This window comes from Homo sapiens, chromosome 21 (genome assembly GCF_000001405.40).
Source record: "Homo sapiens chromosome 21, GRCh38.p14 Primary Assembly".
NCBI lineage: Eukaryota > Metazoa > Chordata > Mammalia > Primates > Hominidae > Homo > Homo sapiens.
The window spans coordinates 31,514,283-31,537,440 of NC_000021.9; the positions used below are offsets into that span (position 1 = coordinate 31,514,283).

The following is a 23,158-nucleotide window of genomic DNA, read 5'->3' on the forward strand; positions in this document are numbered from 1 at the left end:
ATCTCGTTTAATGAGAGAATTTACAAATTCTAGGTTCTTCCTTCTAGGGTTCTAAAGATTAGCCACCAATTGCTCAGGGCCAGCAAAGCAGCTGCCACAAATGTTAAGTTCCTAGCTGGAAAGTTAAAAAAATCATATTGATTTTTGAACTTTGGGAGGCCAAAATGGGCAGATCACCTGGGGTCAGGAGTTTGAGACCAGCCTGACCAAGATGGTAAAACCCCATCTCTACTAAAAATACAAAAAAAAAAAAAAAATAGCCAGGTGTGGTGGCAGGCACCACACCTGTAAACCCAGCTACTCAGCAGGCTGAGGCACGAGAATCGCTTAAACCTGGGAGGTGGAGATTGCAGTGAGCCAAGATTGCACCGCTGTTCTCCAGCCTGGGTGACAAAGTGAGACGCTTATCTCAAAAAAAAAATATTGATCTGAGTTTTGATACAACCACAGTCCTCCAAACCTCCAGCGTTCTGAACTGCAGAGTGCACGCCTGGAGGTCTGGAGTGTGGTCCCTGCTGATGCAGCTGCGCTGCCCTCTCTCTGCAAGAAAAAGGCCTCCTGCAGCCCGCAGCTGGGTGGAACCACGGGACAAAGCAGACTTTGTTCCAGCGGAAAGCCGATGTTAGGAGTTGGGAGAGATGGAAAGCAAGATAGAGTCACTTTATTTCTTGCTTCCAACTCTCATTATGTCTATTACACAGGCACACGACAGCTGCCAGACCCAGAAGTAGGCAGACGGGCCTTGCCTGGTTCGGTGACTCTTTTGCCAAAGGACATTGTGGATTTGACTACACTTTTGCAGAAACCCAAGTTTGGCCCTGGACCAAAAACCAGTCCTACCCTTTGTTATCCACCTTTTACCTTTCTTCGCTATCGACCCACAGGCCCCAACTCCAAAATCATGACCCACCCTCCCCACGCAGCCCTCATGTGCCTGGAGGGCCCCTTCTTCTTTTGTCTCTCTAGGAAAATCTCACCATCTTCTAGGTTGAGTTAGATACTCTATCCTCCATCCTATTGCACAGAAATCCTCAAAGTGTGGTCCCTGGACCAGTGGCATCAATATCAAAATCTGTGCACTGTGCCCCAGATCTACTGAAACAGAAGCTTGGGGTGAACCAGCAACCTGTGCTTTCACAAGCCCTCCGGGGGTGTTGATGCCCACTCAAGCTTTGCCCACTTCAACAGCCATAATCACTACTTTACCTCCTCCCTACTTAGCTTAGGACTCTGTCATTGTAAGTCCCTCAGAGTCTGGCACAAGCTAGGCACCCTATAAACACCCAATTGTTGAATTAAGCTAAATAACCTCTTCTAAAACTTGAAAGGGCAGTGTGAAATCGACAACTTTACAGGCTGCTGAACCTCCACCACCATCTTCAGACATGCAGCGCCAGCAACACCCAGGAATCCTGCAGAATAAAATCCTGCAGAATAAAGCCAGACTCGGTCAGAATTTCCATGGAGCAAGTGATTTGGGAAAAATTAATATGTGGCTCCTGTTCATGACCATTGTCTGCAGTAAGATTCTAAAACACACCAGGGACTGGACACATGGCTCACACCTGTAATCCCAGAACTTTGAGAGGCCAAGGCAGGCGGATCACCTGAGGTCAGGAGTTCGAGACCAGCCTGGGCAACATGGCAAAACCCCATCTGTACTAAAAATAGAAAAATTAGCTGGGTGTGGTGGTGTGCACCTGTAATCCCAGCTACTCAGGAGGCTGAGGTAGGAGAATCACTTGAACCCAGGAGGCGGAGGTTGCAGTGAGCCAAGAAGGCGTCACCACACTCCGGCATGGGAGATACAGCGAGACTCCATCTCAAAAAAAAAAAAAAAAAATAGGGGCTGGGCACAGTGGCTCACACCTGTAATCCCAGCACTCTGAGAGGCCAAGGCAGGCAGATCACCTGAGGCCAGGAGTTAAAGACCAGCCTGGCCAACATGGTGAAACCCCATCTCTACTAAAAATACAAAAATTAGCCGGGAGTGGTGGCATGTGCCTGTAATCCCAGCTACTAGTGAGGCTGAGGCAGGAGAATTGTTTGAACCCAGGAGGTGGAGGTTGCACTGAGCTGAGATCTCGCCACTGCACTCCAGTCTGGGTGACAAAGAGAGACTCTGTCTCAAAACAATAAATAAAATTAAAAAATAAAACACACTAGGGCAATGTTGGGAATGACACTGGTTTATGTCTCAAAAGGAGTCTTCACTGGCTCCATCAGGACAGCAGAGTTGAACCACTCCCTAAGGAAGAGAATTCTCTAAGAGAAATTAACCCACAGTATTTGGTATAACGTCCTCTTGCCTCATTAGAGCCACTGATTCCAAGCTTCCACCCTGCAAAACTCAACACACTATTGGTGCTCACACAACTGGACTTACCCTAAAAAAAAAAAAAAGAAGGAGAAGAAAAGATAGATAAAAATCAGAATAAAATTGAATAACAGGGCAGCACAGCACAAAATCCTTAGAAATATAATGAATTCAGGCTGGGCTCGGTGGCTCACACCTGTAATCCCAACACTTTGGGAGGCCGAGGCAGATCACGAGGTCAGGAGTTGAAGACCAGCCTGACCAATATGGTGAAACCCCATCTCTACTAAAAATACAAAAATTAGCTGGGCGTGGTGGCGGGCGCCTGTAGTCCACCTACTTGGGAGGCTGAGGCAGGAGAATCACTTGAACACAGGAGGTGGAAGTTGCAGTGAGCCAAGATCACGCCGGTGCACTCCAGCCTTGGCGACAGAGCAAGACTCTGTCTCAAAAAAAAAAAAAAAAAAGAAAAGAAAAGAAAAGAATACAATGAATTCACATGTTCTAGGCTTCTCTCTTTGCCAAGCACTATGTCAGGGTCTTCAAGGCTCACAGTGCAGCGGTTAAGGCTACAACTCTAAAGGCAGACCACACAAGTGTTCCCTGCTCCATCACACGATCTCAGGAGATCTGTGTAAAGAGCTTTAAAACAGACTGAGGGTCATGGCTCGTGCCTGTAATCCCAGCACTTTAGGAGGCCAGAACAGGAGAATCACTTGAGGCCAGGAGTTCAAGACAGCCTGAGCAACATGACGAAACCCCGTCTCTGTAAATAAATAAATTGTTAAAACTTTAAAACGGTCCTATAATATAAAAATATTAATGGATGATACTATTACTATGATTACTCATTGTGGAAGACTAAAACTGTCCCCAAAGTTATCCCCAGGCCCTAAAGAGGGAGGCAGAGGGAGAGTCCACGTAGATCTAAGAGAAGAAAACACACGCAGAAGAGGAAAAAGCTATGTGACCACAGCGGCAGAGATGGAGCAATACAGTCACAGGCCAAGGAATGCCGGTACCATGGTAGAATATGAAACACCCAAATATGCCACTTTGGCTTAAGGAAAGTTTTGAATTAAAGACACTTAAACAACAGATGCAAGAAGGGCACTCTGACCTCCTTTTTCTTCCTGCAAGCCAGAAATAAAACCATGCAAAAGATGTCCTTCTTGTACCAGGAGGAAGGAAACTTTCTTATCAACAGAGATGGCGAGTCGAGGCCAAGAGAAATCTGTACAAACAAACCTTGTTAAACTAACCCTTATCTTCCTAGTCACTCCTCCATGATCAACTTCCTTAGCCCAAACCCCTCTGCCTAGCCACGTTTCCACAGTTTAATGCACTTGGTTCAAACAAGTATATGAGCTCTCAGCCCTCACCGCCCCTTCGAGTCTTCATTTTTCTCATGAACTTGTAAAAATAACTCAATAAAATATGCATGCTTTTCTCCCGTTAATCTGTCTTTTGCTAGTCTAACATATAAGGCCTCAGCCAGAAATCCTAAGATGGGTAGAGGAAAAAGATCTCCCTCTCTCATACCAGAAGCTGGAGAGGCAAGGGTTCTCCCCTGGTGCCTTGGGTATGAGCATAGCCCTGCCAATTACAGTTGGGGCCAGTGGAACTCATTTGGGACTTCTGGTCTCAGAACTTAAAAAGAATAAATGAGTGGGGTTTTTTTGTGGGTTTTTTGGGGTTTTTTTTTGAAATGAAGTTTCACTCTTGTTGCCCAGGCTGCAGTGCAATGGCATGATCTCGACTCACCACAACCTCCACCTCCCGGGTTCAAGTGATTCTCCTGCCTCAGCCTCCCAAGTAGCTGAGATTACAGGCATGCGCCACCACGCCCAGCTAACTTTGTATTTTTAGTAGACACGGGATTTCTCCATGTTGGTCAGGCTGGTCTCAAACTCCCGACCTGAGGTGATCCACCCGCCTCAGCCTCCCAAAGTGCTGGGATTACAGGTGTTGGCCACTGCGCCCGGCCCTAAATGAGTGTTTTTTAAGCTACTGAATTTGTGGCTTAGGAAATGAAATACCATCATCAGTCACTTCATCTTTTTCAACAATAATGCAGGCGAGCCAGTATCACCCCCACTGTAAGCACAGGAATGCTTACACTGGGAAGGTGGGGTGGCAGCTCACATCATGGAGATAGGACAAAGCCAGGTGCAAGTAATAGCAATCTGATCTTCCCAGCATGCCTGGCCGGCTCCAGTGAATCCACATGTTGCTTTCTGGCCTTTAGGGATAGCCTGGAAAACAATCACCCTGGTAACATTGTTTTTACAGAAAATGTAGTCTGGATTTCAAATAAAAGACAAATGGCTCACGCCTGTAATCCCAACACTTTGGGAGGACAAGGCAAGAGGATCACTTGAGGTCAGGAGTTCGAGACCAGCCTGGCCAACATGGTGAAACCCCGCCTTGGCCGGGCGCAGTGGCTCACCTGTAATCCCAGCACTTTGGGAGGCTGAGGCGGGCAGATCACCTGAGGTCAGGAGTTCGAGACCAGCCTCAACATGGAGAAACCCCGTCTCTACTAAAAATACAAAATTAGCCAGGCGTAGTGGTACATGCCTGTAATCTCAGCTACTCAGGAGGCTGAGGCAGGAGAATTGCTTGAACCTGGGAGGCGGAGGTTGCGGTGAGCCGAGATCGCGCCACTGCACTCCAGCCTGGGCAACAAGAGTGAAACTCTGTCTCAAAAAAAAAAAAAAAAAAAAAAAGAAACCTCGCCTCTACTAAAAATACAAAATATTAGCCAGGCGTTGTGGCCCATGTTTGTCATCCCAGCTACTCAGGAGGTTGAGGCATGAGAATTGATTGAACCTGGGAAGCAGAGGTTGCAGTGAGCTGAGATCGCACTACTGCACTCCAGCCTGAGCCACAGAGCGAGATTCTGTCTCAAAAAAAAAAAAAAAAAAAAAAATTAAACAGAATTACCACATGATCCAACAAATCCACTTCAGAGTAAACACCCAAAAGAAAGCAAGAAATTGAACAGATATTTGTACACCCGTTAACAACAGCCAAAAGATAGAAGTAACCCAAGCGTGCTTTGACGCATGAACAGATAAGCAAAAGGTGGCATATCCATACAATGGAATACTATTCAGCCTTAAAAGGGAAGGAAATTCTGGCACGCACTGCAACACAGAACCCTAAAAACATCATGCTAAGAGAAATAAGCCAAAAAAGACAAATACTGTTAAGATTCCACTTACATGAGGTCCCTAGAGCAGTCGAATACATAGAGATAGAAAGTAGAATGGCGGTGCCAGGGCCTGGAGGGAGGGTGGAAATGGGAGTTATTGTTGAATGGGTACGGAGTTTCGGAGTTTCCATTTGGGAAGATGAAAAGTTCTGGAGATGGCTGCTGGTGAGGCAACGTTACATTGTAAATGTACTTAAAGCCACTGAACTTGACACTTTAAAATGGTTAAAATGGGCCGGGCGCGGTGGCCACGCCTTGAATCCCAGCACTCTGGGAGGCTGAGGCACGCGGAGCACCTGAGGTCGGGAGTTCGAGACCAGCCTGACCAACATGGAAAAACCCTATCTCTACTAACAATACAAAAATTAGCTGGGTGTGGTGGCGCATGCCTATAATCCAAGCTACTCGGGAGGCTGGGACAGGAGAATCGCTTGAACCTGGGAGGCGGAGGTTGTGGCGAGCTGAGATCGCGCCATTGCACTCCAGCCTGGGCAACAAGAGCTAAACTCTGTCTCAAAAAAAAAAAAAAAGAAATGGTTACAATGACAAACGATGTTATACATATTTTACTGTAATAAAAAAAAGAAGTACTAGCAATAACTGTTTAAGAATAATAGGTTTTTGAGTGCGGTTTTACTTTTTCCTTTGAGTCCTAAATTTTCATTCATGAAATTTCTCTTAAAAAGAGAAAAGGCATTTGTGGTATAAACAGCAAAAGGAAAGAAATGTGCTGTCCTAAGGCAGGCCAACTCATTGAGGACCCACAGCTTCAGGGATTAATGGGATTCCTGTGGCAATGACCTTCCCCACTTCTGTAATATGAATGATCGCAAAGCGAAAATCCAATTCCCTCTCTGTGTTTATGAAAGCCATTCCTTTAGGACAGCTGAAGCAACAAAGCCAGTCAAAAGCACTTCCCAGCCGTGCGATTGGAGATTTATATTGCACATCAACATAAAGAAACATTATGTAACTTAAGCTGTGGGCCAGGAGGCGTGGGTCAGAAGCTGAATTCAAGACATGCTTCGCCCTCCAATTCCCACCACTGGACCAATTAAAAACTCCCCAGGCTTCTGCTGCCTTTTCCGTAAGGTGAAAGAACACCTGCTTCATAAGGTAACCGTAAATCCTGCAAAGAACCCATGCCTGGCAAATGTCAGGGGTTTAGACACAGCATGTGTGAAAGAACACAGCCTGCCACAGAGCAGGTGCTTAATAAATGCCCAAGGCTTGCTTCCTTTCACTCCATCCATGCAGGCACTCAAAGCTTTATGCTTGCTTGTTCCTCAACTTCTGAAGAAGGAATAGATTGCCAGATTTACTCTTAATTGCCTCAACTCCGCCACCTTCTCTAAAAAGAAACCCTCATCCTAAAACTCTTAATGAGGTCGGCTTTCTATTTTATGGCCAGATAACTGGAAATGACCGGAGAGCTGGCAAAATGACAAGCTGGAAGGCTTCATTTAAATTAGAAAAAGGTTTCTAGAGTTTCTCTTCAAGATTATATTCTAGAGATCCAGAAAACCTAAGGTTCCAGCAGTCATTAGCTGCATGACCCTGGGCAAAGTACTTATCCTTAGAGCACTGATATTCACATCACAAATGATGTAAACCAGATATACACAATTGAGTCTCTTAAAAAGTTAAAAGAGTGCACACCTGTAATCCCAGTGATTTGGTAGGTGGAGGCGGGAGGATCACATGAGGCTAGGAGTTGAAGACCAGCCTGGGTAATATAGCAATACCCCATCTCAACAAAAAATTTAAAAACTTAGCCAGTAGTGGTGGTGTGCACCTGTAGTCCCAGCTATTCAGGAAGCTGAGGTGGAAGGATTGCTTGAGCCCGGGAGTTCAAGGCTGTAGTGAGCCATGACTTGTACCACTGCATGCCAGCCTGGGCAACAGAGCAAGACCCTGCCTCACACACAAACACACACACACACACACACACACACACACACAAAGTAAAGGACAGTAAGAACTCTAATAATTTTTTTTGTTTGTTAGAGTATCACTCTGGCCCAGGCTAGAATGCAGTGGTGCAATCTTGGCTCTTAATAATTCTTTTTTTTGGAGACGGAGTCTCTCTCTGTCGCCCAGGCTGGAGTGCAGTTGTGCCATCTCGGCTCACTGCAAGCTCCGCCTCCCGGGTTCAGGCCATTCTCCAGCCTCAGGCTCCCAAGTAGCTGGGACTAGAGGCGCCTGCAACCACGCCCGGATAATTTTTTGTATTTTTAGTAGAGACAGGGTTTCACCATGTTAACCAGGATGGTCTCAATCTCCTGACCTTGTGATCCGCCCGCCTCGGCCTCCCAAAATGCTGGGATTACAGGCGTGAGCCACCACGCCCGGCCGGCTCTTAATAATTCTTAATTATTCTTAATAATTTTTAATTATTAAGAAATTATTGCTGGGCCCGGTGGCTCATGCCTGTAATTCCAACACTTTGGGAGGCCAAGGTGGGCGGATCACCTGAGGTCAAAAGTTCGAGACCAGTCTGACCAACATAGAGAAACCCCGACTCTACTAAAAATACAAAAAAACTCAGCCAGGCATGGTGGCGCATGCCTGTAATCCCAGCTACTCAGTAGGCTGAGGCAGGAGAATCGCTTGAACCCGGGAGGCAGAGGTTGCGGTGAGCCGAGATCGCACCATTGCACTCCAGCCTGGGCAAGAAGAGTGAAACTCCATCCCAAAAAAAAAAACAAAAACAAAAACAAAAAATAATAATAATTAATCATGTCCCCACCATGAAACTATTAAACATAATTGTTTATCGTCAGGGAGCCCTTGTTCCTGGGCTGGGCCTCAGGCTTCCCATCAGTAGTAAATGGGCCAAACCACCAGTTCTCTCAAAGGAGGCTTCTAACACGAATGTTCCACAACACTTGTAAGGCCCATCTGTCCAACCGAAGCAGTCCTTTATAAAGTTCTATCCAAATGGGATCACTGGCTATAACATATCAAGAATTGGAAATAGTGATGACCAGGAAGTTTCTTTTGATTTGACCAATTAAAACAACATTTTTTTCTCATATCTAACACTTATTCTCATATCTAACACTACCCCGTATTTCAATGTCATAGGTTTTTAAGCTACAACCACAAATTCTGTCGTTTAAATTTAGGAGCAATCACAATAATTCACCGACCAGCTATAAAATAAATTTTTAGCACATTCTCAATCATTCTCAATAAACTGTCATCATTCACGGATTTCAACAGCACCCAATGCCATGTTTTTAAGCAGCAGTAACTCCTCTGCAAAGCAATATTTCTCTTTGCAACTTATCACACCTTACAAAAGATACCTGCAAAGAGAGGTAAATCAAACAAAACATGTAAGTTATGTTTATTTTCCCATTACAAACGGTATCAAAGTACAGAGCTACAGCATCGAGACATAAAAAGGATGCCCTGAAATTTTACTGGGTGCAATTTTCACTAAATATAGCCTAATGAACTGAATAGTTCAATGCTTTTGCAGAAAAAGTCCTAAGCAGTGCAATTAAGAAAAATCTAAAACAACACAATGATTTTATATAAGCAGCAGAAATCTTCTTCCCAAATGAGAACAAGTCATATGCACCACTCATTTAAGACTCTTCAAAATGCAGAAAGATGTCTGGATTTTGAAAGTGAGGAAGGAAGACTAATAGTTCAGGGCAGCAGCATGAAATAGCAAAAGCTCCCAGACATCAGGGATACAGCCTGAAGCCTCCAGGCTCAACCTAGCTGTTTACTAATTGTGTGACTGTGGGCAAATCTCTTCATCTCTGAACCTCAGTTTGCTCATCAATAAAGTGGAGATAATAGTACGTACTCAGTGGGGCAAGATGGCTCACCCCTGTGATCCCAGCACTTTGGGAGGCCAAGGCGGGCAGATCACCCGAGGTCAGGAGTTCGAGAACAGCCTGGCCAACAAGGTGAAACCCCATCTCTACTAAAAATACAAAAATTAGCCAGGCATGGTGGCCTGTAATCTCAGCTACCCGGGAGGCTAAGGCACAAGAATCACTTGAACCCGGGAGGTGGAGGTTGCAGTGAGCTGAGATCGCGCCACTGCACTCCAGCCTGGGTGACAGAGCCAGATTCCATCTCAAAAAAAAAAAAAAAAATAGTATGTACTCTGCCTGCTCTGCAGGCATGATAATTCCCAATGCTCACTCCAGCCTGGGTGACGAAGCCAGACCCCAACTCAAAAAAAAAAAATAGTGTACTCTGCCTGCTCTGCAGGGGTGATAATTACCAATGCTCAGGTGAAAAAAAAGCTAAGACTCAGGATACACTTCCAAGACTAGTGTGTCAGGCCACTTTTGCATTGCTGTAAGGAAATACCTAAGGCTGGGTAATTTATATAGAAAAGAGGTTTAATTGGCTCATGGTTCTGCAGATTGTACAAGAAGCACGGCTTCTGGGAAAGCCTCAGGGAGCTTTTACTCATGGTGCAAGGTGAAGTGGGGGTAGGAGTCTCACATGGCAGAGGAGGAGCAAGAGAGAGTAGAGGGAGGTGTCACACTTTACAACAGCCAGATCTTGCGAGAACTGGCTCACTATGGCAAGAACTGCACCAAGCCAAGAGGGATCCGCCCCCACAACACAAACACCTCCCACCAGGCCCCTCCTCCAACACCGGGAGTTAATCTTAACAAGAGATTTGGAGGGGACATCCAACTATATTAGCTAGTGAATCCCAGAACCTGGACTCAAAAGTATATTCTCTTGCTAGATGGCAAAAAGCATTTGCTGGTGAAGGGTTTGATCCTGAGAGCTTTGAAATAGAAAAATGGAAAATCTAATGGGAAATCAGGAGGAATAATCAGAGTTTACTCTCTCTCTGCCAAGCTTATAAGCAAAAGAGCTGAAGTGTATTGAACACTATGCCCAAGAGTTTTATATCCATTTTATCATGCAATGCTCCTTTAGCTAGATAATTACAGCAAAAACTTACATAGCATTTAGTGTGTGCCTTGTACCATTCCAAACTTCTATCATGTGATTCATCTGCTCTTCCCAACATCTCAGGGAGGCAGACACATCCTTGTCTTAGTACATTTGTGCTGCTACAAAGGAATGCCTGAGACTGTGTAATTACAAAGAAAAGGGGTCTATTTGGCTCATGGTTCTGCAGACTGTACAAGAAAAATGGCAGCAACATCTGCTTCTGGGGAGGCCTCAGGAAGCTTCCACTCATGGTGGAAGGAAAAGGGGGAGCGAGCATGTCACGTGGCAAGGAGGAGGAAAAGAGAGAGGGGCCAGACTCTTTAATAATCAGATCTGAGGCTGGGCGCGGTGGCTCATACCTGTAATCTCAGCACTTTGGGAGGCCGATCACCTGAGGTCAAGAGTTCAAGACCAGCCTGGCCAACATGGTGACACCTGTCTCTAATAAAAACACAAAAATTAGCCAGGCATGGTGGCGCACACCTGTAATCTCAGCTACTTCGGAGGCTGAGGCAGGAGAATCACTTGAACCCAGGAGGTAGAGGTTGCAGTGAGCTGAGATTGCGCCACGCACTCCAACCTGGGCGACAGAGCCAGACTCCGTCTCAAAAAAAAAAAAAAAAATCAGATCTGACGGGAACTCATAGAGCGAGAACTCGCTCCTTGTGAGAATGGCACCAAGGCATTCATGAGGGATCCACCCCCAAGACCCAAACACCTCTCACTAGGCCCCACCTCCAACACTAGGAAACAAATTTCAGCATGAGATTTGGAGGGGACAAATACCCCAACTATTAGGAATCATCATTTTATAGACAAGGCACTTGAGGCACAGAGCCAAGTGACTTCCCCAAAGTCACACTGCTAGCAGGGCCAGAATTCAAACCCAGGCAGTCTGGCACCAGAGTCCATGCTATTAACCCCTGTACCAGGGACTCTTATTATATGAAGAAATAAAATGAGAGGGTGACACATTAATTATGTCATCCGACGCCAGGCACGGGGGCTCATGTCTGTAACCCCAGCACTTTGGAAGGCTGAGATGGGTGGATCATTTGAAGTCAGGAGTTCGAGGCCAGCCTGGCCAACATGGTGAAATCCCGCCTTTACTAAAAATACAAAAATTAGCTGGGCTTGGTGGCGGGCGCCTGTAGTCCCAGCTACTCGAGAGGCTGAGGCAGGAGAATCGCTTGAACCCGGGAGGCAGAGGTTGCAGTGAGCCGAGATCACGCCACTGCACTCAAGCCTGGGTGGCAGAGCAAGACTCCATCTCAAAAAAAAAAAAAAAAAAAAATTATCTCATCCAAGTGAGCACAACTTGCTTTGAACCTGGTCTGCAGTTCTCCCTGTCTGGGCACTCACCACCATGCTGTGTGTTCAGGCCTGGCAGGCAGGGGTGCCACCCCCATAGCAGCACTGAGCCCTGGGGCAGATGAGTAAGCAAACAGGATGAGATCTGGGTCTTCACAGCAGGAGACTGAAGAGGGAAGGATAAGAAACAAGTGACCAGGGAAGATGGAAGGCAGCGGGAAGCAAGCAGCAAAACTAAAAGAGGTCAAAGGCTCCACTGACTGTTTCTGCTGACTTTGATGAGTGCATGCACGGCGGAAACTTCTGGAAACTTCTGGTTTCCGTAACTATTTTATCTATGCTCAGGGGCTCCATGAGCTGAGTTCATTTAGCAAATTAATGACCTTCTAAGCCTTTTAAGTCATTCTGAACAGAAAAAGAATTGCTCAGCAAATCACTTGGAGAGGAAATCTCATGAGGAAACTCCCTTTTTTTCTAAGACGATATGACAATGCTTTCCCACGACAATGCAGACCCTGCATGGCCACAGGTGGGAATCGTGATAGTAAGCCTGGGGTCACATATCTCATCATGTACTTTACCTTCATCATATATCTATGGGAATCTCAAAAGCTGTATTCTCTTTTTTTGTTGTTTGTTTGTTTGTTTGTGACAGAGTCTCCCTATGTCACCCAGGCTGGAGTAGAGGGGCATGATCTCAGCTCACTAAAACCTCCGCCTCCCAGGTTCGTGCGATTTTCCTGCCTCAACCTCCCAAGTAGCTGGGACTACAGGCACGCACCACCATGCCAAGCTCATTTTGGTATTTTTAGTAGAGACGGGGTTTTGCCATGTTGACCAGGCTGGTCTCGAACTCCTGACCTCAGGTGATCCACCTGCCTCAGCCTCCCAAAGTGCTGGGATTACAGGCGTGAGCCACCACGCCTGGCCAAAAGCTGTATACTCTTTCCTGATCTTCCATCAAGCTTCCAAAGACTTCCAAAGATATCCGGGCCACACACTGTGGAACAGACACCGGAGAAACTGGGCTCCAACACAGAGACTAGATTTAACTCCTGCTTGGCAACAGCTGGAGCCTAGAAGCTCTGCACACCAATACAGAGCCTGCAAAACTCTCCATGCCTCCTGCCTCTGTTAACCCAGCTTCCTCCCCCTGTCTTAAGCTGAAACTCCTCCGTGGGACTTACTCATGCTGACACACAAGCATTTTCTAAATAGAAAATTTTGGTAGAGAATGAGTAGGGTAAACTCAGGTTATCAGAATCTTAGAGGAGGCCCAGAGACACAAAAAGACCACATTTAGGTGCCTCTCAACTTTGCAGGAAAGTTCTAAAAATAGAGGGCCTGATTTCAAGTGGAAGTGATTTTAAACTACAATCTATTATTTAAATAGCAAACACGTTGAGTATCTAAAAGATCAAGACAAAGATGAGTGAGACATTCGAAGAGCATGGGGACCTAGCACACATTTTTGCCAGCTCTCCATCTGCCCTGATGGATTACTAAATTCACAGCTGACTCTCCAGTTTTAACCATTTTCTTCTGATTGGGTGTTAAGACATTCCCAGAGGGAAGGGATGGAGCTAAAATCACCCATCTATCAGCCACCTGCCCCACCCCATTCCACCCTGTCACTTATCACAAAATCCTAAAATACAGATATGATCTTAAAGGCCACCAGTCCCAACCCAATGCTTAGAATCTCCTCAGTGTGTCCCAGTCTCCACTCACCTGGGCCACTTGTGGTCAACAGTCTCTCAATGTTGATCACATTGAGTCCCCTGATCAAGCCCATCACTACCCTTCAGAAACAGATTTGCTCCCAAGGAAATGTCTTGCTTCTCCCTACACAAACAGGAACAGAGTGGGAGCACCATGTGTGTTAATTCCAACAGGATGCTAGACTGTTGTTGATACAAGTGTTACAGTGTTAATATAGCTGAGATGGGAAGCCCTAAACTAGTGATTCTAGGCTTTCCAGCGTACAAGATTGATGAGACTTCAGTGTTTAAACAACATTCACTGACAGAGAGAAAGAGATAACTAGGGAGATTAAGGGAGCAGGGAGGGGGGATGCCGATCAATGAAAATATTTCTTCCAGGGAAGAGGCAGCACTATCAATGCACTAAGTATGTGACCTCTATTTAAAATACTTCCCAAAGCCAGGCACAGTGGCTCATCCCTATACTCCCAGCACTTTGGGAGGCCAAGGCAGGAAGATTGCTTGAGGCCAGGAGTCCAAGACCAGCCTGAGCAACATACCAAGACCCTGTCTCTACAAAAAATTTGAAAATTAGCTGGGCATAGTGGTGCATCTAGCTACTCAGTCCTAGCTACTCAGGAGGCGGAGGCAGGAAGCTCCCTGAGCACAAGAGATGGAGGCTGCAGTGAGCTAGGATCGCGCCTCCATACTCCAGCCTGGGCAACAGAAATAAAAATTAAAATAAATAGGCAGGTCACGGTGGCTCACACCTGTAATCCCAGCACTTTGGGAGGCCGAGGCGGGCGGATCACATGGTCAGGAGTTTGAGACCAGCCTGGGCAACATGGTGAAACCCTGTCTCTACTAAAAAAATAAAAAAATTAGCCAGGCATGGTGTGGTGTGCCTGTAATCCCAGCTACTCGGGAGGCTGAGGCAGGAGAATTGCTTGAACCCGGGAGGCGGAGGTTGCAGTGAGTGGAGATTGTACCACTGAACTCCAGCCTGGGCAACAGAGCAAGACTCTAAATAAATAAATAAATAAACAAACAAATTAAAAAAAAAAAACTCTCAAGATTAAAATTCAGTTCTATTTATCATATCCTTTCAGGAAACTGGAAGAATAGGTATTATGAAAATGAAATGTCTTTTTATTCTTTTTTTTTTTTTTGAGACAGAGTCTCAGTCGCCCAGGCTGGAGTGCAGTGGCGCGATCTCAGCTCACTACAAGCTCCGCCTCCCGGGTTCACGCCATTCTCCCACCTCAGCCTCCCGAGTAGCCGGGACTACAGGCGCCCACCATGCCCAGCTAATTTTTTTGTATTTTTAGTAGAGACGGGGTTTCACCGTGTTAGCCAGGATGGTCTCGATCTCCTGACCTCCTGATCTGCCCACCTCGGCCTCCCAAAGTGCTGGGATTACAGGTGTGAGCCACCGCGCCCAGCCGAAATGTCTTTTTATTCTTTCAAACAGATACTTGAGTCCAATGGGGAAAGGTGGAAAAAAAAAGTCACAAAACCTGTCCTCAAAAAGCCCTCCATCCTATTAGGTTGGGGAGAGAAAATTAATGCAGATAAAACAATTAGAAAACAATAACTAATGTAATTATGGGTTGTTACTACTGTAACAATTACTAGTGTAATTTTGAGTTCCAAGCATAAGATTTCAGAAACGAGGAGTATGTTCCCTTCAGTAGCTCTTGAATACCTTGAGTAAACAGAGAAGGAAGCAGGAAACCAAACATTCTCTTCTTTATCTCTTCAATGTATCTTCTTTATCAGCAAATGGATTTCCTTTCAGGGAGTTTAAGACCTTGTGGGTCAGGGCTACCTGCCCAGTTCAGGCCAGAAGGAAACAAAGGAAATAAATTAGGTCACCCATCCAGCATTGCTCCTTCCCAAATACCTGCTCCTCAAATGCAGAGAGCAACTGTCATTGCAAGACAGCTGTGCAGACATGTGTTTATAAACTTAAAGTCCATGAACTCCAACCTGGTATCATCTCTCCTAACTCCAGAGAAAATTCACCTCATGCCCCCTTCCTCTCGAGGGAAGGTCCGCAGAGACAATGTAAGATGTTCTCACCAGGGAAGATTCCACCTTGCTTGGCCTCCTGTCAGTTTCTGTCATCTCCGCGGAAGTGTCATGGACATTACAGCATTCTCTTGTTGCCACCTTTGCTGGAGCCAGGACCTAGCACTGCTTTTGCGACCCCCCTGCAAATGTTTATTTCTACTAACACGTTGGAAGGCAAGAAGACAACCTGGCATTCACACAACCATATGAGGAAACTCAAGGAGGAACTTAACTCCTTTCTTAGAGCCTGATGTCACCACTATTCTCCCAGTTCCAGGCTACCGTCAATGCCATCTCCCAGGGCAACCTCATCTGGGAAGGTCTCCTCTGAATTCATACTGAAAAGGTTTTGAAGATGACCTCCACATATTTCAAGAATAGCTATCATCGATCTACCTGAAAGTTTGCTGCCAAGCAAAGTTATCTCTACACAACATTTCTTTAACCCTCTCACCACCACTTTTTAGACAAGGCAATTGAGGCTGAGACATTCAGCAACTTGGCCAAGAGGCCTGAACACTGTCCAGAGGCCTGAACAGTGATGGAATTCCAAAAATCCCAAAATCCCCAAATGCCTGCTCTTCACCGTCAATGCTATTCTGTCTCCCTTCACAACAGTGTAGCTTTTCAGTCTGGCAAATGGAAACCAGCTCAACGTACTAAAGCATATTTGTGTGGCTATGAAACTCCTAGAGGAAGCAGAGCCACGAAGATGAATGGAGATCTACAAATAAAACTGTGGGGCACCCCAGTGCCCGACTGTATGAGCCCCCCTGGTGGGCACACACCTGGACGCCTCCTGGTGGAAGCAAGGCGCCTTCTGATCCACACTGAGCCATCAGCTGTCCCCACCAGCTGGTCAGCCGCACTTCGCATCCCCAGAACCAACCTCCAAGACCCCGGACCCCTGGCCTGGAAATGTAAGTGGGCAGGCAATGTTTCTGGAAGACACTCTCCTATCTGTTCACTCGTATACCCAAGCCTTATAATCCCCAGAATACAGTAGGATTGGCTTCATTCCTGAGTAATAAATTTAGAGGTTAAAAAAAAATGATTCCTAGTATCAAGAACAAGAAACAGGACTGAACAGTCCTGGCTCCAAGTCAATCACAGCGCCACTGACTTACGCCCCACAGAGTAGCAACCATGGCTAATTTCTCTCCAGATGGCGGCTTGTACTTTTCCAAGCAGAATCTCATCTCCCCAAGCCTTGCCTCACCTTTCTACAGCTCTTTGTGTTTTCCCAACGTCCTCTCTGTGCACAGAGGGCTTTGCAACACCTCCAAATTTACTGCCACCCACAGATTTAATTAGCAGACTGTTTACTCCCCCCTTCTCTGATTGGAATATCTTAAGTAAAACCAGGCCTCCACTGAGCCCGTGGGTACTCCACCCTGGGCCTCTGTCCAATCGGCTCCCCAGTGAAAAACAGTGTTTGCTCAGCTCCAACTGTAGGGTTGGCCCAGGTCCAAGGCAGGTCTATGCTGTGAGCCAGCCACCGGTGCCACACAAGGGCCGCAACCCCTGGGGGCTGCCTAGTGAGAGGAGACTGTATGGAAGGAAGGGCAGAGGTGACCAAATAAAAAGAAACAAAACGACACCCTGGTAAGCAAGGCATTAGTAGTAAAAGTTAGGGTACAGAGACAAACTGGCTAAACACATATTTCTCTTGACTTCTCCATGTGATCGCTATAGTGAAAGAAAAAAGAAGAGGAAGAAACAGTAGCATACATTATAGAAGGGAATGAGATGGTGAAAGAAATGGAAAAAGGAGGATCAAAGAGGACCCAGAGAAGAAAGGAGGGCAGGAGAGAAGGGAAGGGAATAATCTGCTTTTTTTTACTCACCATTAAGTAAACTAATTAAAAACCACTAAACTGAATATCCATTTTACATTCAACTATACAGGAGTTAAAAAAAAAAAAAAGATGCCTCCTTGGGAGAAACAAAATCAACAGCAAGAGAAACAAATATGAAACCAACAGAAGGCCAGGCACGGTGGCTCATGCTTATAATCCCAGCACTTTGGGAGGCCGAGGCAGGCAGATTGCTCGAGTCCAGGAGTTTGAGACCAGCCTGGGCAACAGAGGGGAACCCCATCTCTATGAAAAATTAAAAAATTAACCAGGCATGGTGGCGTGTGCCTGCAGTCCCAGCTACTTAGGGAGCTGAGGTAGGAGGATTCCTTGAGCCTGGGAGTTCCAGGCTGCAATGAGCCATGATTGTGCCACTGCATTCCAGCCTGGGTGACAGAGCAAGACCCTGTCTCAAAAAGAAAAAAAGAAACCAACAGCAAGCAATGCAAACAGGCCTACAGTTCACTCTCCTACAGAGCCATTTAATGATGCAAGGACTGACATGCTATCTCTGGCTGTGGAGTAAGAGTGGAGGAGATTACACAGAAGCACCTCCTTGGTCCAACTAAAACTAGGCACAGCCTTGGCTGCACACACCAAAACAGCCCAGTGCTGATGGTAATTACACACATGACCAACCAACACACAAAATCTCTTCTTGATAGGCTGAGCCTCCCCCTCCGATGCTATGCTGCTTGCTTTTATGTCCTTCATTAATTTTTCCTAAACTATTTTAAGGTTTTATGACTACTCTTACTTCTTTATTCTTAGACTTTTAAAGGGGAGTCAAGCAATTAAATACACAGAGCTATTGTTACTCACAATAGGCACTGATATAATGTCTACCTAATCTTTTAAATGTGCCTACATTAATTTTGCTGCAGAGAAAATTCCTATCTTTCCAATATGCTAGTGATGAAAATTCATTTTTGGAAACCACTTAGCCTTGTACTTTTTAATCTCCCCGCACTCTAGCTTCAAACACGCTTTGTGGGGTGAAGGGGCCCATTAAAATTAAGAAATTCCTGAAATAAGAGAAATTTCCCCATCCTATCCAGCATGGGCAACGTGGCCAAATCCCATCTCTACAAAAAATTAGCCCGTGTGGTGGCGCATGCCTGCAGTCCCAGCTGCTCAGGACGGGGAGGTAAAAGGATCCTTGTGTCCTGTAGGTCGAGGCCACAGTGAGTTGTGGTTACACCACTACACTCCAGCCTGGGCAACAAAGAGAAAAAAATAAATAAATATACCTACCCTAGCAGGTTATCCCAGCAAGATAGGTGGACAGCCTTTCTCTAGGCCAGGGGAAAACATAATTTTAAATTTTCAGGCCAGGCGTATCTCAACATAATCATGCCTGTAATCTCAGCACTCTGGGAGGCTGAGGTGGGCAGGTCACTTGAGGCCAAGAGTTCAAGGCCAGCCTGGCCAACATGGTGAAACCCTGTCTCTACTAAAACCACAAAAATTAGCCAGGCATGGTGGCACGCACCTGTAATCCCAGCTACTCGGGAGGCTGAGGCAGGAGAATCGCTTGAACATGGGAGGCAGAAGGTGCAGTGAGCTGAGATAGTACCACTGCACTCCAGCTTAGGCAACAGAGTGAGACTCTGTCTCAAAAACAGTAATAATAAAATAAATTTTCTAGTAGCCACATGTTTTTAAAAGTTAAAAGGTTAAACAGAATTTCATAACCTATTTTATTCAACCAGGTATATCACGGATACTATCATTTCAACATATAATCAACACAAAAAATTATTCACGTGGCTGGGTGTAGTGGCTCACACCTGTCATCCCAGCACTTAGGAAGGCCAACCCAGGAGGCTCACTTGAGGTCGGGAGTTCAAGACAAGCCCACTTACAAAAATTATTTTTAATTAGCCAGGGGTGGTGGTACACACCTGTAGTCTCAGCTACCAGGGAGGCTGAGGTGGCAGGATCACTTAAGCCCAGAAGTTTGAGGCTGCACGAGCTGTGTTCATGCCACTGCTCTCCGGCCTGGGTGACAGAGCAAGACCCTGTCTCTAAAAAAATAAAATAAAAAATTATTACTGAGATAGCAAACATTCTTCTCCTTCTTCCTGTGTCTTTGAAATCTGGTTTGTAGTTTATGCTGACAGTACTTCCCAATTCAGACTAGCCACATGTCAACATAGTGGGCAGTACAGCTACAGACCCTCTGATGGAAATGTGCGGACAGGAGGGAATAGGGTTAGATAAAGAAGTACCTAAGCACGAGGGATTCGGGATCTCTTAAGTGCTCAATTACAGGATGTGCTTAGCTTTCCTTTCACACAGCCCCTCCAAAGGACACACATGCCCTGTGGTCTTTCGGAAATACCCGCCTGGCATCCAGAGAATCTCTCTAGGGCTCTGAGTTGCAGTTCCAAAACCTCACCCACTCCATATAATGGAAAACACAATGAAGAGAAAGCGAGTACCTCCAAGGTACAAAAACCACGCTAGGCGCTGACACTAAGCATATTCAAACTCACCATTAACATCTAAGCCTAACATGCTGGCCAGGAGACATTGTCTTCTATGGATCTCCATGCCTTATTAAAAAGTCATTAAATCCAGTGCCTACATCGAGAACAACCAGACTTAACAACAGGAAACTGAGCTCCCTGGCCTAATGGCCTGTCTTGTTCTAAGTTCCAGGACAAACCAAAGAAGCACTTAAGAATCCAAAATCAACTGGGTTCATGCCTGTAATCCCAGCACTTTGGGAGGCCGAGGTGGGTGGATCACCCAAGGTCAGGAGTTCAAGACCAGCCTGGCCAACATAGTGAAACCCATCTCTTTTAAAAATACAAAAATTAGCTGGGCATGGTGGTGTGTATCTGTAATCCCAGCTACTCGGGAAGCTGAGATAGAAGAATTGTTGAACCCGGGAGGCAGAGGTTGCAGTGAGTCGAGATCACGCCATTGTACTCCAGCCTGGGCAACAGAGCAAGACTCTCTCTCAAAAACAGAATCCAAAATCAGCACTTAAGAATCTTAATTTCTACCTGCCTGGTCAAAACCACTGCCCATCACTGAATCTTGACTGCCCCCAAAATCCTAAAAGAGTAATCATTGTGAGCATTTGACATATTTTCTCAGTATCTTTGTTGTCATAAAATTAATCCAGGGCCAGGCATGGTGCAAACACTTTGGGAGACCAAGCTGGGAGGATTACTGAGCCCAGGAGTTCGAGAACAGCTTGGGCAACATGACGAAACCCCATCTCTACAAAAAATTAGGCAGGTGTGGTGGCACCAGCCCTGGCTACTTGGGAAGCTGAGGTGAGAGGATCACCTGAACCCAGGAGGTCAAAGCTGCAGTGAGCCATGACTGTGCCACTGCACTCCAGCCTGGGTGACAGAGGAAGACCCTGTCTCAAAAAAAAAAAGGCTGAGCGCAGTGGCTCACGCCTGTAATCCCAGCACTTTGGGAGGCCAAGGCAGGCGAATCACAAGGTCAGGAGTTCGAGACCAGCCTGGCCAATATGGTGAAACCCTGTCTCTACTAAAAATACAAAAATTAGCTGGGCATGGTGGCAGGCGCCTGTAGTCCCAGCTGCTCAGGAGGCTGAGGCAGAAGAATCGCTTGACCTTGGGAGGAGGAGATTGCAGTGAGCCAGGATTGTGCCACTGCACTCCAGCCTGGGCGACAGAGGAAGGCTCCATCTCAAAAAAAAAAAAAAAAAAAAAAAAAAAAAAGTTTATCCAGAAAGTTCTTGTTCCAATTTTTTCTCTTATCACTTTAAAACTAAAGCACATGCAAATGGGCTCTGATTCCTTAAATTAATTGAAAAACATGGACCCCAACCTTTACAGAGCTTCATGCACAAGCTTATCAATGAGTATGGCCTGCCCATCTAAAGATTTTCTAAGAGGCTGCCCACGTAAAGGGGATGTCAGAGCTCCTGGAGCTTTGGGACAGCCACAAGCCCTCTACCTGGTTCTCTATCTAGGTCTTTTCCTCCTTCCCATTGCCCCAGTCTCTCCCAGAGCTCAGACACACTCTATACCTTCCCATGGGAACAAAAAAGCCCCCAGGTGAGTGTTTTTTGGCTGATGTGTGAGTTTGACATCCAGCACTGGCACATCCACCGTGTGACACTTGGGACATCACTCAACTCATCACTTGCTCTTTTCCCAAGCAAGTACCAAACTGAAGGCCCATCAGGTGCCAGCAGCCATGCCAGGGACAGGGATGACAAAACACCAGAATGAGCCTGCTCTCAAGAATTAGAGGCACGCCAACAGATGAATGGAAGACGATGGGTTACTATGCCAGCAGAAAAGGTCCTGGGAGGCTTTCTAGAGGCGATGGTGCCTGTGTTGGGCCTTTAAAAATAAGCAAGAATGGACCAGAAGGGGAGAAAATGCGGCACAGGCAGAGAGGCCGGGGGTTGATGCTTCCTGGGCCCACACCAGGCACCAGGCCTGTTCAAAGCATCTACAGGAATCGGCTCATTCACTCCTCACAACCATCCCTATGAAATAGGTTCTATTATTTTCCCCATGTGATAGACGAGGAAACTGAGGCATAAGGCAAATTGCATCGTCCGAGGTCATTCTATTCATAAGTGGCTAAGCAATGCAGTCTGGCTCAGATTGGGGGTTTCCCCTATGGTCTGTGAGATGACTGCCCTTACCCACTGCACACCATGGCACCTGCCCATGCAAGCGCATGCTGTGCTTGTGAACTGCAAGCAAATGGTGCAATCTGGACCACCCCGGATACCCCAAAGGTCACCTAAATGCAGGAAGCTGAAGGAAGGGAGTCTTCAGGACAGCCGGGACCCACTAGAGATTCAAACTCTCACCCGATACTCTTCAATCCAAACATATTAGGTTGGTTAAAAGTAATGGCAAACATCACAATTACTTTTGCACCAACCTAAAAACCTATAGTCACCCCACAGGTATCTGCTGACGTGTGTCCCCCAGCAGAGCTGAGTGGGCAGGGCTGGGGTGAGCAAGGAGTGAGGAGAAACGGGTGGAACAGGGCATGGGCACGAGCCCTATGGCCTCAGACCTCATCTCAAGCCACGGGGAAGATGATGAATTCTAAACCCCAACACTCAGACACATACTAGGGAGACAGCTGACCTCCCATGGAAGTCACATTGAAAGGTTAGGACAAGATGGCAGGGACCAGGAGGCCATGTTCAGGAGAGAGGGCAAGAAGAGGGCATTAGCTTCCTAGGCCTGCCATGACAGAGACGTTGATTGTCACAGTTCTGGACACTAGAAGTCCAAAATCCAAAGTGTTGGCAGGACTGCACTCCCTCAAGAGACTCTGGGGAAGGATCCTTCCTTGCCTCTTCCAACTTCTGGTAGCTCCGGGCGGCTTCTTGGCTTGTGGCTGCATTGCTGCAATTCTGCCTCTGTCTTCGTGTGGCATTCTCTGTGTGCCCACACCTCTGTATCTGAACCATTGGATCTGGGGTCCACTATAATCCAGTAGGACCCCTTCTTATCTGATGACAACTGCAAAGACCCTATGTCCAAAGGCGGCCACATTCTGAAGTTCCAGTGACATGAGTGTTTGGAGGGATAGTATTCAACTCACCCGCATAGGGCTGAACATAGGTCAAGGGTCTTGGGACTGAAGAGGAGCAAGCAAAGGAAAAAAATATAGCAAGGTGTATGACAGTAAAGAAGATGTGCTATCTTTTTGGTTGGGGGGGATGCAAAAATTAGCACGCCTGTGCTTATATAAACCAATACTGCAAGAAATC

At 46.3% G+C, this 23,158-nt stretch overlaps 1 protein-coding gene across 7 annotated transcripts in view, besides 1 other annotated feature; it reads right to left on the minus strand.

Annotated features, from left to right (window-relative positions):
• Positions 1-23,158, minus strand: part of TIAM1 (TIAM Rac1 associated GEF 1) — a 440,670-nt gene that overhangs the window by 395,865 nt on the left and 21,647 nt on the right. The gene's annotated exons all lie outside the window — the stretch shown is intronic.
• Positions 7,716-8,215: an enhancer, noted in NCBI's record as "H3K4me1 hESC enhancer chr21:32894311-32894810 (GRCh37/hg19 assembly coordinates)". NCBI's record gives its function as "activates a minimal SCP1, AML or CMV promoter by ChIP-STARR-seq in primed H9 embryonic stem cells {active_cell/tissue: H9 hESC(primed)}" and the evidence as "EXISTENCE:reporter gene assay evidence [ECO:0000049][PMID:30033119]".